Raw genomic sequence first — 17010 nt, 5'->3', positions numbered from 1 at the left:
CAAGGCTCTGTAACACTCAGTGAGTCTACACTTTACATGTAAAAAGAAGGGACTAGAGGGAAATTATGCATGGATCTCATGCTCAGTACATCTACATTTTATATAAGATAAAGTAAGCATGTGAAATTACAGGTATTTGGGAACAAAAGGAAGGCAGTTTTTGCATGACTCATTTCCCAAGCTTAACTTTCCCTTTGGCATAGTGAATTTGAGGTCTCAAGATTCTATTCTTCTTTCACAGTATTTTACATATATTTATATATAATATATATAAAAATATCTATATTTATATATAAAATATAAAAATATCTATATTTATATATAAAATATAAAAATATCTATATATATAAAATATATAAATATATATAAATAATATATATATTCCACATATATAATATATTGTAATTATATATATATACTCTACATATATTATATATTATATATAGTCTACATTTAAGTTACTGTTACTCACCTATCTCTTCCACTCCTCATTTCTCTTATCCTTCGAATATTGGGATCTCTCCCTGAAGCTTTCTCAATTTAGAAATAATCAGTTTAGAATTTAGAATAATCAGTTTGCCCTTTGACCTTAGAGAAAATTTGCTTTTGAATCAGGAACTTCTGGGAACTGTGGCTTAGGGATCAACTTTACCTAGGCATGGCTCCACCTGCCTTGCTTGTTTTTTCCTTTGTCCACTTTCTCCCTGCCTATGCACCGGGGATCCAGGGTCTGTTCTCACTGCATCCTCTCCCTACTGCTCACTGTCCCTGGGGTCCCTTCCAGCCCCCATGTCTCAGAACCCAGGACACAGTTATCTCAGTGGAGAGCTGTGATGGTCAAGGATGTCTCAGGAAGAAGAGGGCAAGAAGAGTACAGGAAACTTGGGTAGAACAAGGAATCTCGGGGCATAACAACAAAAGAAATCATGGTTTGGAGTAGCAGGTAAGGGAGTGGGCTCTGGATATCAACTGCCTGGTTTCAACCCTTAGCTCTGTGCTTTTGAATGAGATAAAATCCCCAGATTCTCAATTTCCTCATCTGTAAAATGGGGATAATAGGAGTACCTATTTCATAGGCTGTTGTACGGATTGAATAATCAATAGGTGAACATACAAAATGCTCAGAATATGGCCTGGCACATAGTAAGCACTCAATAAATGTTAGAGATTATAATTGGGGGTCCAGGACATATATATGTAAGTAAAATAGAAACTTCATCACCACTGGGGCTATTTTTAGATATCTTTGAACTAATTTTAAAAAGGGGAAGAGATAAACTATAAACTTAGTTATGAAAAATTCGCAATAATAAAGTTAGTTATCTAGGGATGTTAACGACTAATTTCTATTAGCAATATAATTATTAGGTACTTTATTGATATCGAAGATAAATTGTTTTTTAAGATTTGGCTACTCTATACATTTGACCATGCTTTTTAAAAATAGCAGATTATGTATTCATACTTTATTAAAAATAAAATACATACAGATAATGTATTAACCCAACTTGACATTCTGCCCTAAAATCTAAATAAACACTATATGAGTGATTACTCTTCTGAATTTATTGAAGCAACAACCACATTGAGCTAAGTAAAGTGGGATAAAGAATTGGAATAATGTCAGTATCTGGATCATGTAAGAGAGTGGTAAGGTGGAGGGAATAAATTCTATGCTTTTTGATAGGGGTTGAATTAAATTCGTTAATTAAGTTATTTTTTTCTAATCAGTTGTCTTTTTTGGAATTTTTCTTCTCTTTTCTTGTTTTTTTTTTGGGTCTTGACATCTTTATGAACACAGAAAGACCAGTGCTAACAAGTAAAGAGAAAAACGAGGCTTTTACCACTACTCGTTCAGGTCTGCTGACAGTACATTTTTAGATAGACCTCCTATTTTGAAAGGCTGTAGATATAGAATATTAGCTTGACTTGAGCTCTGAAAACCTACAGAATATGGAAATTAAAATGATCCCCATTTACTGTTACCATCATTTAGATAGGGTAAGATGCAGAGATGGGGAATGTATACAATCACCCAGAAGAAATGTCAAAATGAAGAGCAGGAATATAGGATACCACATACATCTCCTTCTGTTGCATTTGGAAACAAATTTCTTTTCTTTTCTTTTTCTTTTTTTCTTTTTTTTTGAGATGGAGTCTTGCTCTGTCGCCCAGGCTGGAGTGCAATGGTGTGATTTCAGCTCACTGCAACCTCTGCCTCCTGGGTTCAAGCGATTCTCTTGCATCAGGCTCCCCAGTAGCTGGGATTACAGGCATGCGCCACTACACCCCGGCTAATTTTTGTATTTTTAGTAGAGACAGGGTTTCACCATATTGGCCACGCTGGTCTGGAACTCCTGACCTCAGGTGATCCACCCACCTCAGCCTCCCAAAGTGCTGGGATTACAGGCATGAGCCATCATGCCTGGCCTAGAGACAAGTTTCTTTAAACTGTATTCTTGTTACTATAAAGGTGAAAAAAAGGGAAATTGAAAAAAACTTTAAAATCCTGAAAATAATAATGAAGGATATAAAAATTATCCCAAATCCTGCCATCCAGAGTTAGTCACTGTTAACATTGTGGAAGAATTTTTATTCTTTGCACATTAACATTTCAAAAATTTTAAACAAAATTTTGACCAATTAAATATATATATATAGTTTTCCGTTTTATTTTTTTTCTTTTCTTTTCTTTTTTTTTTTTTTTTTTTAAGACAGAGTTTCACTCGTTTCCCAGGCTGGAGTGCACTGGCGTGATCTTGGCTCACTGCAACCTCCACTTCCCGGGTTCAAGCGATTCTCCTGCCTCAGCCTCCCGAGTAGCTGGGATTACAGGCATGCGCCACCATGCCCAGCTAATTTTGTATTTTTAGTAGAGATGGCGTTTCTCCATGTTGGTCAGGCTGGTCTTGAACTCCCGGCCTCAGGTGATCCGCCTGCCTCGGCCTCCCAAAGTGGTGGGATTACAGGCGTGAGCCACTGTGCCTGGCCTCCTTTTTATTTTTTTCACTGAACAAACCATGAAACTTTCCCAGATGTAAATATCTATTTCCCATTTTTCTTTTTTTAAAATAAGGCATTATTTTAACCATTTGAGTGTTAGATATTATTTTTAGATAATATTTTAATTTAGGCATAACTGCCGTGCAAAATCTGAAGATTAATATCTACCTTGTGAGTCATTCCTCTGTGAGACAGTGCATGTTAAATATGTTGAATTGGCAGGTGAAAAAGGAAGAAAAAATGAGTAGTGATTGGTTATCCACAGCTATGAATGAGAAATTGAAGGTAGTAGACTATGGATGACAAACCTATTCTTGGTTTCCTTCTGTTTCTGAAATTCTAATTACTACCACAACTACATGAGAGACACTACTAACAAGCAAAGTTTTACAACTTTTTAAAGACATAGACTTTATGTTATTATAATTAAAAATCATGCATTTTTGTCATATTAATAAAATTGCATATACGATATAAAGGCATGGACAAAGGTGAAGTAGCTTCAAGAGACAGAGTTTCTGACATCATTGTAATTTTAAGCATCGTGGATATTCCCGGGAAAGTTTTTGGATGCCATTGGGGATTTCCTCTTTACTGGATGTGGACAATATCCTCCTATTATTCACAGGAAGCAATCCCTCCTATAAAAGGGCCTCAGCCGAAGTAGTGTTCAGCTGTTCTTGGCTGACTTCACATCAAAACTCCTATACTGACCTGAGACAGAGGCAGCAGTGATACCCACCTGAGAGATCCTGTGTTTGAACAACTGCTTCCCAAAACGGTAAGTGCAGAACGCTTTATAAGGGCAGCCTCGGGCCATGAAACACAGATATGCAAAAGGCCTTCTAATAAAAACCACATCTGTACAAGCTCTTATTGTATTGTAGCTAAAACCTGTCTTTTCTCTTTGACCTAAATAATGAAAGTCTTAAAATTTGTTTATTTATTTGATTAAACTCTGAAATAAAGATTATTGCACTAGTGTCCTTTGCCCAAAATCTTAGGATGCTGCCTTAAACATCATGGTAGAATAATGTAACTAGCTACCCACGATTTCCTTCTTTAATTCATTTTGTGTTTTATCTCCCCAGGAAAGTATTTCAAGCCTAAACCTTTGGGTGAAAAGAACTCTTGAAGTCATGATTGCTTCACAGTTTCTCTCAGCTCTCACTTTGGGTAAGTCAGTGCCATTAGACCAAGATTTCTCATTCTCGCACTATAGATATTTCAGACTGAAATATCCTTGCTTGTCTGGGGCTGTCCTGCACAGGATATCTGGCAGCATCCTTGACCTCTACCTGCAATGTGTTCTTCCCTGGGCTTGGGGTCATTTACTTTACCTCTTGGTGTCTCCCTTTCCTTAAGTGTAAAGTGTGGATCATAATGACCTATTTCCCAGATGCATTGTGAGGATTCAATAGCATGGTTCATGGAAAGTACCTCATACAGTGCTTCTTGGTGCATACTAAGTGCTCAATAAAGCTTAGTTATTCTGATTATTATTCTACTACAAAATGGGTATACTATAATGTTGTGAGTGAGTGTGGATAAGGTACCTAGTGGGTGGCAGTCACAAAAGAGATAAACAATAAGTCGCTGTTTCTTCATACGTACTTCTTACTTTTGAAAAGATGAGAAAAGTCTGGGCCATGTCACAAACATTGCCAAAAATAAGACAATAAAAAGCACAGTTGTCAGAGTTAAACCACAACAGTACCAAACTCTACCATTTCTTTTCTTTTTCTCCCACTAGTGCTTCTCATTAAAGAGAGTGGAGCCTGGTCTTACAACACCTCCACGGAAGCTATGACTTATGATGAGGCCAGTGCTTATTGTCAGCAAAGGTACACACACCTGGTTGCAATTCAAAACAAAGAAGAGATTGAGTACCTAAACTCCATATTGAGCTATTCACCAAGTTATTACTGGATTGGAATCAGAAAAGTCAACAATGTGTGGGTCTGGGTAGGAACCCAGAAACCTCTGACAGAAGAAGCCAAGAACTGGGCTCCAGGTGAACCCAACAATAGGCAAAAAGATGAGGACTGCGTGGAGATCTACATCAAGAGAGAAAAAGATGTGGGCATGTGGAATGATGAGAGGTGCAGCAAGAAGAAGCTTGCCCTATGCTACACAGGTAGGGAGTTTGCGGCAGCAGTGGGAGGTAGTTTCAGTGTGTGGGCATCTTGGCAAATTTACAGCATGCAAAAACTGCTCTCTATTGTGGTCATTTTATGTTCCAAAAGATTCTGTTTAACTGCTAAAGTTTCTCTCTTTTGCTGTTTTGTGTGAATGTGGGCAAGAATATGTGGATATGTATATATATACACACACACACATATATACACACACACATATATGTGTGTGTGTATATATATATAGCCTACAGCATTTATATACATTTTATATATATACATACACACATATACACACATATATGTGTGTATGTATATATATAAAATATATATAAATACTGTAGGCAAATATGTAGTTCTTTACATATAAAAATGCACACACACAATACATATTTTAATTACTTGTTTATTTGTGGTAGGGGAACTGTCTTCAGAGTTTGTGAAGAAGTAAATTTTCTACGGTAGGTGCCAGCCACAGCTATACATTAGCATCAAGGTTTAGGATAGGTGGGCCTGAAACTCAGATTTGGAACTTTGTAAAACACTTCAGTTAAAGTCTATGGCACTCTGTAGGACTGCTGATGTCTCTGTTGCACACTGTTGATTCTAAAATCAAAGGCACTCAGTATAAGCACAGTAATAGTCCTCCTCATCATGCTTTGTATTTTCCGTAGCTGCCTGTACCAATACATCCTGCAGTGGCCACGGTGAATGTGTAGAGACCATCAATAATTACACTTGCAAGTGTGACCCTGGCTTCAGTGGACTCAAGTGTGAGCAAAGTAAGTCTGGTTCTTGCCTCTTTCTTCACTTGAGATGGTAGCACCATCTCACGTCCTAGCTGGCATTAGAGTCAGGTCTGCATGCCTTCCCTTCCCTGGTGCAGATGGTGTCATATGGTGATCGTGAGCTGAGACTATGAAGTCAGACCCTGCTGGGTTTGAGTCCTAGATTCACCAGTTATTTATTTTGGCACCTTGACAAGATAGTTTAACTCTCTATGTCAGTTTTCTCATTGTAAAATGAGGATAATAATAGTGTGAACTTCATAGGCTCATGGTTACATGGTGCCTGGCACACAGGACACATTCAATAAACTGTAATTCTGTGTCCCTGCGAGGAACATGTACTCACCTCATCTAGGTGGTAACAAGACGTTGCAGTAGAAATGAGTGAGTTACAGAGTCCAGGGTATCTTGGTTCATGCTCTGGCCTCTGGCTCTGTAATGACTAGCCGTGTAGCATGGAGCAAGTCACTTGAATGAAATGAGGTCTCAGTTCCTAAATTTGTACATTAAGAGAGTTAGATGAGCTTCTCTCCAAGATTCCTTAGCACAGCGTTGTGCAGTAGAGCTTTTGTGATAATGGAAATGTTCCATAGCTGTGTTTTCCAGTGTGTACCTATGAGCCACATGTGGTTATTGAGTACTTGAAATGTGGCTGGTGACACTGAGGAACTGAATTTTAAATGTTATTTGATTTCAACGAATTCAAGTTTAAATTTGAGTAGCCACACAGATAGTGGCTACTATAGTAGACAGTGCAGCATTAGGGTTTTAAAATTTGTAATGTATTCTAGTACTTAAATTTGAAATATAGCTTTGTGAATGGTTCTCATCCTGGTTGGAAGCTTACTGTAGTATTTTTAGCAGTTGTGAGAAAAGTAACAAGAAATTTGTTGTGGTACCTAAGTTTGCTGTGTTTGTTCATATAATTTGAACAGTTTTGAGGTAAACACAATTACACTACTCTCCCCATATCACTCAATATTTCTTTTTTATGGTTGTCATCACTGCTTTTTTGTTGTTGTTGTTATGGATCAGCATTTTCTTGAATAAAAGAAAAGGGGTAGAATTACAGTCAATTTTACAAATTCCATTAGAAATTTTATAAATTTTTAAACTAAAAAAAAAAAAAACCAAACTGTAGTTCTAGTTTCCAGTGTTCTTATCTGTTAAAGGTGAGAGATGAGCAGAACTGATTTGGGTTTCTTTTTCAGTTGTGAACTGTACAGCCCTGGAATCCCCTGAGCATGGAAGCCTGGTTTGCAGTCACCCACTGGGAAACTTCAGCTACAATTCTTCCTGCTCTATCAGCTGTGATAGGGGTTACCTGCCAAGCAGCATGGAGACCATGCAGTGTATGTCCTCTGGAGAATGGAGTGCTCCTATTCCAGCCTGCAATGGTAAATCCCTCTGAGAATGCACAGAACGTTCTGTAACTCATCCCTCATTGCTTCTGTTTTTTGATTCAACTTACATTTTCAAAACTTCAGGGAAAGTTTTTTTTTTGTTTTTGTTTTTAATACAATTTGTTCTCTCAGCCAATGTATATTGCCAACCCAGTACCTGCTTGGGTTGAGAGAGGTTTTTTTATTCTATGCTTGAAATGGGTGTTTCTGAGGCTCTGGTGATTTGTAAGGGAGACCATAAAACAATAAAGCTCTAGAAATCTCAATGGATTTCTCATCTTGTTTCCCTGTTTAACTTTTCCAAGCCATGGGACTAACTTAAGACCATGATAGTCAAGCAGTCTTAGTATCTCTTTTTCTCTCTTAATTTTATCTTTCTGAACCAGAGGCCAAAAAAAGAAAAATCAGTTCTTCAGGCTCTGATGGGCTAAAATAAATGAATAGCCTACGTATGTCAGTACTAGTCATAACTCCTAATCTGGAATCTATTTTTTTTAAATTTTTACCTCACGTAAATGATAACATAGATTAGAGACCACTCAGCATAGGCAAAGTGGAAATCAGAAAAGATAGAATATCCATGAAAAAGAATAAAAGCTTTTATTCTGGCTGTGCATGTCCCTAAGAATTGACATAGGACTTTGGGATCTACCCTTTGAAGGCAGCTTCCTCACTCTGTTAGGCACCCAGCTCAATAGGAAGTGAAAAGATCATTCTTCTGTAAAATTCATGGTGCTCTTTAAAATCCTCAGTGGTTGAGTGTGATGCTGTGACAAATCCAGCCAATGGGTTCGTGGAATGTTTCCAAAACCCTGGAAGCTTCCCATGGAACACAACCTGTACATTTGACTGTGAAGAAGGATTTGAACTAATGGGAGCCCAGAGCCTTCAGTGTACCTCATCTGGGAATTGGGACAACGAGAAGCCAACGTGTAAAGGTAGAGTTGTTCCACATGGAGACTTACTGTGAACATTCTTTCTCTCAACCCATACTGGAAATGGGCAAGCTAATTCTAGGCCGTGCTAATATCAATGCGTATATTTGTTACAGCTGTGACATGCAGGGCCGTCCGCCAGCCTCAGAATGGCTCTGTGAGGTGCAGCCATTCCCCTGCTGGAGAGTTCACCTTCAAATCATCCTGCAACTTCACCTGTGAGGAAGGCTTCATGTTGCAGGGACCAGCCCAGGTTGAATGCACCACTCAAGGGCAGTGGACACAGCAAATCCCAGTTTGTGAAGGTAAGCTTGAGATCCTTCGATTTATACTTTCTTAAAGAACAACCATCTTCAAACTTGGACAGTGAAAAAAAAAACCAATACCCACTTTAACTATAGAAATCAGATTTGATGAGCAACCCTCGTATCTTTGAGATTCATTTAAAAGAACTAATGTTTGGCCAGGGAAAGGATCATATGTGTTAAGAATGAATTCTTTGCTGTTTTTTTTTAACTGTGATGTGCTGATAAAACTTTGTAGACATTAGCATGGAATAGACAGAATTCTTAATCTAAAGGAATCATATTAGAAAATTCGGAAAGCAGAATAATGAGAACATGATTTGAATGTAAAACTCTCATCACACCTGTCTTCTGAAATGGCTCATAATTAGCAGTGATGAGACTGTTTCAAGCATGGTGTCAGCTACAGAGATAGTATTGATGCATATATAAGCAGTAAATTTTAATTCACTTTAAAGTGAGAGCAAGGATATTGAAAACAAGCAGTTTTTACTATCAGGCACTGGCCTTGTCCTAGCCAAAGCCAGCACAGAATGATTTCCAGTAGCAAAACATAACACAAAAACCAAACTGCAAAACAGACAAATTTTATAGGGGTGCTTTCTTTTCTTTCTTTTTGGCACCATCTATAAACATCCATGACCCATATGTTGTCCTCAGACTGCGTGAAATCTTTCCTTGGACCATAATTTATTTTGTGTGTTAGAAGAACAGTGCTCAGGAACTAATGTTCTGATTAATTAGTCTTTTAATTAGTGCCATGATCAGTGAGGGGGCTGAAATTCAAAGAAAACACAGCCATCTTCCCATTTGTCCAGGGAATTATAAAGAATCTTCAGTTCTCCAAGTGTTGCTTGAATGAACTGGGTTCACTCAACAAACGCCAAGTACTCTCTAGTTCCACTGCAATATTTTCTGACCATCATTTTGATGTCTCAGCTTTCCAGTGCACAGCCTTGTCCAACCCCGAGCGAGGCTACATGAATTGTCTTCCTAGTGCTTCTGGCAGTTTCCGTTATGGGTCCAGCTGTGAGTTCTCCTGTGAGCAGGGTTTTGTGTTGAAGGGATCCAAAAGGCTCCAATGTGGCCCCACAGGGGAGTGGGACAACGAGAAGCCCACATGTGAAGGTACAGTCTTTGTTTTTATTTTATTTTAAGATAAAAAGAACTATTGAAGAGCTTGGGAACTTGGTTACCTTGGGAAACGTATTGCTGGAGATGCAAACAAACTTCTAAAGTGCTCTCTCGTGTGTTCCAGCTGTGAGATGCGATGCTGTCCACCAGCCCCCGAAGGGTTTGGTGAGGTGTGCTCATTCCCCTATTGGAGAATTCACCTACAAGTCCTCTTGTGCCTTCAGCTGTGAGGAGGGATTTGAATTACATGGATCAACTCAACTTGAGTGCACATCTCAGGGACAATGGACAGAAGAGGTTCCTTCCTGCCAAGGTAGAATTGAGTGCAGACTTTTTTAGGGTACAGGTCAAATACTTCATAAAGTTTCTGAACCTAGATTGCCCCAAAGGGGTTTGGTCCTAATTTCCTACATGCTGAAAACTAAGTAGCGCTTACACTTTACATTCATTGTTGACTTTTAAGCAAGTTTTGGAAGTTTTCCAGTAGATTTTTCTGAAACTCTGCCTGTGTACCTAACATTTGCAGTGGTAAAATGTTCAAGCCTGGCAGTTCCGGGAAAGATCAACATGAGCTGCAGTGGGGAGCCCGTGTTTGGCACTGTGTGCAAGTTCGCCTGTCCTGAAGGATGGACGCTCAATGGCTCTGCAGCTCGGACATGTGGAGCCACAGGACACTGGTCTGGCCTGCTACCTACCTGTGAAGGTGATGCATTGATTGATGGTGGTTGTCTGGTGATTAAAAAGAAAAAGGGGGAGCTATCTTGTTACAGTAATCAACTATTCATTATATCCAAACCAGAAAGTTCGCCCAGGTTGACAAGTTGTGAATATTAAGTTGTATGGGGATAGAGAAAAAACAGAAGTTGCATGTTGATGGAAAGGGTAGAATTCTGACAACTGGAAAAAGGAGACAGAGAGAGGAGAGGAGAAAGGGGAAATGGAAAACAAGAGGGAGTGAGAGCAAGAGAGCAAGCAAGTGCAGTGTTTATTAACCAAGGTGTGGTGTGGTATTGTGAACGAGCTTGGCAAGTTAGAGTTCTGCCTGCCAATGGTGGAAATAGCTTCAAAGGTGGCTTGGAGCAGATCTCAAAGGCCTGTAATGCCACATCTCTGCTTCTTGTATTAAACTAGATAGCTCTTCTGCTCCTAGTAATGAATGTACAGAAAAAAGGCCAAAGGGACAGGACGGAGAGACTTTAACATCAATTCTTCCTCATGACCTTTCTTCGTCTCTTACTTCCTTAGCTCCCACTGAGTCCAACATTCCCTTGGTAGCTGGACTTTCTGCTGCTGGACTCTCCCTCCTGACATTAGCACCATTTCTCCTCTGGCTTCGGAAATGCTTACGGAAAGGTGAGGAAGTTTATGAATGTACTTCAAAAATGTTTTTGAAAATACATTTCTTTCTCATTGATAAGTCATGGTCTTGCTTACTGATTTAAACAATAATTAGAATCTGGATAAAATGCAGTATAATTAAGCAGAAGTATTAAGAAAAGAGTTAGTAGTACAACTCAGTGTGGGAAGTGTTTCAGGAAATAAAAATGTTAGTCGTGCCTAATATTGTACAACTCCAGGGGGTGCTATTCATGTTGAATTATATGATGCCTCCCGGAATTGTGCAATGGAACTGCCATGATGAGCACTCTAAGGAAAATGGATAAAATTCTTCCTAAGGAGATTTATTTGGAGTACAGGCTTAAATTTGAGAGTCTCTCATAAGGAATATGGAAGCACATCTGACTACACTCATGGTTTGTTTGGCTTACATGTTTAAGAGTACTTAAAACATTTTTGAGTTAAGTTCTGACGTTTACAAAATAGGAAATCTCACATTTAAATTAAGACTTTGGACTTCTCATGAAAAATTGGGAGCTGAATTGGGCAAGATGACCCCGTAGCTATTTGCTGGCATTAGGAAGCTGCTATGCCCTTTGGATGGCTGTGCACTTTGCATTTTACCCTAGATGCCACAGAGCCATGCTTGTGCTCTGATTATTACAGAGGCCCTGAAGCATCGAGTTTGCAACACTTGATGAATTAAGTCATATTGTATCTGGATTTAATATATCCTTAAAAGTCATTTAGTCTGAATTAATGGTTGTTTGTCTTTTCTTTTGCAGCAAAGAAATTTGTTCCTGCCAGGTAAGTTGCATTCTTATACAAAGCATGCCATTGAACATTCCACATATTTTTCTCTCTTCATGTTGGAAGACAGTGCTTTACCTAGTGTTCTCATGTATTCCACAGCAGCTGCCAAAGCCTTGAATCAGATGGAAGCTACCAAAAGCCTTCTTACATCCTTTAAGTTCAAAAGAATCAGGTAAGACTTGTAAATCACAAATGGTTATGAGAGAGGTATCTTCTCTACATGCTCTGTTTCTCCTTGAACCCTCCAAACTTGCCAATATCTTAGGGAGGGAGCAGGGGAGAAATCATCACCTGGGTATTGTTCTGGAAAGTTGCTTTATTTTTTGTAGAAGGAGAGGAAAGAAACGGATCTAGCTTTATTGTGTAATTTCATTTATGATAGATAATAATAATGAAGATAGCTGACCCTTACATTGCACTTATTATATTCTGGGAATTTTTCTAAGCTAGGAACTCTGAGATAGGGGCTGGTACTATATTTCTTATCTTTTCTTTTTACTTTTTTTTTTTTTAATTTTGAGATGGAGTCTCATTCTGTTGCCTAGACTGGAGTGCAGTGGCATGATCTTGGCTCACTGCAACCTCCACCTCCTGCGTTCAAGCAATTCTCCTGCCTCAGCCTCCTGAGTAGCTGGGATTACAGGTGCCTGCCACCACACCCAGCTAATTTTTGTATTTTTAGTAGAGATTTTGTATTTTTTCGTCATGTTGGCCAGGCTGATCTTGAACTCCTGATCCACCCGCCTTGGCCTCTCAAAGTGCTGGGATTACAGGCGTGAGCCACTGGGCCTGGCCTGTTACTTTATTTCTTATCACACAGATGAAGAAAATGAGACAGAGAAGTTAAGTAAATTGTCTGAAATCTCAAAGCTAGTAAGTGGTGTAGCCAGGATTCAAACTCTGGCAGTCTGGTTCTAAAATTTGTGTTCTTAACTACTCCGACCTGCTTTGAGAGAATTTGGAAAGGTCAAGTCCCTCTGAATACTTTTTAAAAAATTAAAATAACTTTTTTTGTGTGTGCGGTTTTAAGTTTACAGAAAAATTGAGCAGAAAGCACAAAGAGTTCCAACATATCTCCCCACCACCCCTTCAATTCCCCCTGTTATTAACATCTTATATTAGTGTTACAACTGATGGGCCAATATTGATACATTATTATTCATTAATGTCCACAGGCTACATTAGAATTCACTCTGTGCTGTGTTGTATATTCTGTAGGTTTTGACAGAGGTATAATATGTAGACATCATCACTGTCCTAACTGAATAGAATTCGATGTTCCTACATGGTCTATCCTAGTGAGAGTGTCTGTGTTAGAAGGTACATTTTGTTGTCATGATCAGTATGCAGAATATTAAGTGTTCTGATGACATGCATGTTTATATTTACAGAAACAGGTGCATCTGGGGAACTAGAGGGATACACTGAAGTTAACAGAGACAGATAACTCTCCTCGGGTCTCTGGCCCTTCTTGCCTACTATGCCAGATGCCTTTATGGCTGAAACCGCAACACCCATCACCACTTCAATAGATCAAAGTCCAGCAGGCAAGGACGGCCTTCAACTGAAAAGACTCAGTGTTCCCTTTCCTACTCTCAGGATCAAGAAAGTGTTGGCTAATGAAGGGAAAGGATATTTTCTTCCAAGCAAAGGTGAAGAGACCAAGACTCTGAAATCTCAGAATTCCTTTTCTAACTCTCCCTTGCTCGCTGTAAAATCTTGGCACAGAAACACAATATTTTGTGGCTTTCTTTCTTTTGCCCTTCACAGTGTTTCGACAGCTGATTACACAGTTGCTGTCATAAGAATGAATAATAATTATCCAGAGTTTAGAGGAAAAAAATGACTAAAAATATTATAACTTAAAAAAATGACAGATGTTGAATGCCCACAGGCAAATGCATGGAGGGTTGTTAATGGTGCAAATCCTACTGAATGCTCTGTGCGAGGGTTACTATGCACAATTTAATCACTTTCATCCCTATGGGATTCAGTGCTTCTTAAAGAGTTCTTAAGGATTGTGATATTTTTACTTGCATTGAATATATTATAATCTTCCATACTTCTTCATTCAATACAAGTGTGGTAGGGACTTAAAAAACTTGTAAATGCTGTCAACTATGATATGGTAAAAGTTACTTATTCTAGATTACCCCCTCATTGTTTATTAACAAATTATGTTACATCTGTTTTAAATTTATTTCAAAAAGGGAAACTATTGTCCCCTAGCAAGGCATGATGTTAACCAGAATAAAGTTCTGAGTGTTTTTACTACAGTTGTTTTTTGAAAACATGGTAGAATTGGAGAGTAAAAACTGAATGGAAGGTTTGTATATTGTCAGATATTTTTTCAGAAATATGTGGTTTCCACGATGAAAAACTTCCATGAGGCCAAACGTTTTGAACTAATAAAAGCATAAATGCAAACACACAAAGGTATAATTTTATGAATGTCTTTGTTGGAAAAGAATACAGAAAGATGGATGTGCTTTGCATTCCTACAAAGATGTTTGTCAGATATGATATGTAAACATAATTCTTGTATATTATGGAAGATTTTAAATTCACAATAGAAACTCACCATGTAAAAGAGTCATCTGGTAGATTTTTAACGAATGAAGATGTCTAATAGTTATTCCCTATTTGTTTTCTTCTGTATGTTAGGGTGCTCTGGAAGAGAGGAATGCCTGTGTGAGCAAGCATTTATGTTTATTTATAAGCAGATTTAACAATTCCAAAGGAATCTCCAGTTTTCAGTTGATCACTGGCAATGAAAAATTCTCAGTCAGTAATTGCCAAAGCTGCTCTAGCCTTGAGGAGTGTGAGAATCAAAACTCTCCTACACTTCCATTAACTTAGCATGTGTTGAAAAAAAAGTTTCAGAGAAGTTCTGGCTGAACACTGGCAACAACAAAGCCAACAGTCAAAACAGAGATGTGATAAGGATCAGAACAGCAGAGGTTCTTTTAAAGGGGCAGAAAAACTCTGGGAAATAAGAGAGAACAACTACTGTGATCAGGCTATGTATGGAATACAGTGTTATTTTCTTTGAAATTGTTTAAGTGTTGTAAATATTTATGTAAACTGCATTAGAAATTAGCTGTGTGAAATACCAGTGTGGTTTGTGTTTGAGTTTTATTGAGAATTTTAAATTATAACTTAAAATATTTTATAATTTTTAAAGTATATATTTATTTAAGCTTATGTCAGACCTATTTGACATAACACTATAAAGGTTGACAATAAATGTGCTTATGTTTATCTCTGTGTTAAGTCTCTTTCTTAGAAATTTTATTTAGATAAAACTCACTTTCCATAAAACGCACCCTTTAAAAATGTATGTGATTGTACAGCTATCACCATTGTTTAACTCCAGAAGATTTCTATCACCCTGATAAAACATTATTTCTCAGTGTGTCTGTGAGAGTATTTCCAAAGAGATTAGTATTTAATTGGTAGACTAAGAGGATTGCCTTCACCAATGTGGGTGGCCATGATCCAACCCATTGAGGCCCTATGTAGAGCAAAAAGAGTGAATTCACTGTCTTTTTAAGCTGGGACACCCATCTTCTCCTGCCTTCCAACACTGGCACTCTTGGTTCCAGGGCCTTTGGACTTTGAAGTATTCCACTGGCTTTCCTGGTTCTCAGCTCGTAGACAGCAGGCCATGGGACTTCTCAGCTTCCATAATTGTGTGAGACAATTTCTATAAAAAATACCACACCCCCACACCCCAACACACACACGCACACACGCACACACACACACACACACCATTGGTTCTGTTTCTCTGGAGAACTCCAACTAATACATGTCCCTTCACGAGAACTGGCTACTTACACTAGGTCTCCTCTTTAATGCCCTCATAATCCATATGTCTCTTCCTTCCTTTAATTGTAATAAATAATTATAGATTATTACTTGCACAATTGTTTGTTTAATGTCTGTCTTCCCCACTAAACTCTAAGTTCCTTAGGGGTAGGGAAAAATTACCTTGTTCATTGCTGTATTCCCAGAACCTAGCACATTCCTGATACAGAGTGGACATCCAACAAATATTTATTGAATGAATAAATCAATGCATGGGTGAATGAATGCATATTTTGGCTCATAATAAGAAGTAGAATCACTTTTCACAAATGGAATGAGTGGTCTCAGAAGGCTAGACTTTAAAACCTAGTTATGTATCAACTGCCCCCACTACTGCCAGTTTGCAATTTAATATATCTATCTCTCAAAAGTCCAGCAATTATTTCAATCCCCATTTACAGAAATGGGGCTTGTAGGAATCATTGTGAGGGCTAAAGGTCAATAGAAATAAAAGGGAAAAAATTTTTTAAAAAAGGAGGTGTAAAAATAGCACAAGAGGAAGTAATAAGAGAGAAAAAGGAAAGATACTAAAAGAAAAAATATTGAGATGCATAGAGTAAACAGTACAGATGCTACAGAAGGGAAAGATCTAGTTTTGTATTCACTCACCTGGGAGCTTAAAACATCCACACAAGTGCTGGGCATGGTGACTCACGCCTGTAATCCCAGCACTTTGGGAGGTGGAGGCGGGTGGATCACGAGGTCAAGAGATCAAGACCATCCTGGCCAACATGGCGAAACCCCAACTCTACTAAAAATACAAAAATTAGCTGGGCATAGTGGTGCGTGCCTATAGTCCCAGCTACTCAAGAGGCTGAGGCAGAAGAATCGCTTGAGCCTGGGAGGCGGAGTTTGCAGTGAGCAGAGATCACGCCACTGCACTCCAGCCTGGCGACAGAGCGAGACTCTGTCTCAGAAAAAAAAAAAAAAAAAAAAAAAATCCACACAAGCGTACATGCTAATGTGCACACACATACACAGAGAGATATATTCCTAAACCCTAACCCACAGGTAATTTGCCCTGAAGATAATGAAAATTAAGCTTCAGGGCCCATTACTTAGATAAACCTTTAAATTACAAGGGCCTGGGTCCTAGGAATGTGTTTACATGGTAATACATCTTTGTAAGATCTATAAAAGCAAGACGCTTTTACGTTCCTTTTCTCAAAGAGAGACCTCAAATTATATAAACCTTGGACCCTGAAAAACTCCTGAATGTTCCTGAACCAACCCAAAATATTCTGATTCAGTAGGATTGGGAGCGAATGTTGCGTGTATATTTTTTT

At 38.4% G+C, this 17010-nt stretch overlaps 1 protein-coding gene across 1 annotated transcript; it reads left to right on the top strand.

Annotated features, from left to right (window-relative positions):
- On the top strand, positions 3676-15115 carry SELE (selectin E). Its single transcript, NM_000450.2, has 14 exons — positions 3676-3784; positions 4095-4179; positions 4757-5140; positions 5813-5920; positions 7138-7323; positions 8082-8267; positions 8381-8569; positions 9509-9697; positions 9828-10016; positions 10230-10406; positions 10949-11056; positions 11827-11848; positions 11954-12026; positions 13246-15115. The coding sequence occupies exons 2-13, from the start codon at positions 4143-4145 to the stop codon at positions 12009-12011; spliced, it is 1833 nt and encodes a 610-aa protein (NP_000441.2). The 5' UTR covers positions 3676-3784; positions 4095-4142; the 3' UTR covers positions 12012-12026; positions 13246-15115.

The sequence above is a fragment of the Homo sapiens genome, chromosome 1 (assembly GCF_000001405.40).
Source record: "Homo sapiens chromosome 1, GRCh38.p14 Primary Assembly".
Classification (NCBI taxonomy): domain Eukaryota; kingdom Metazoa; phylum Chordata; class Mammalia; order Primates; family Hominidae; genus Homo; species Homo sapiens.
This window is presented reverse-complemented; position numbering and strand designations above follow the sequence as displayed.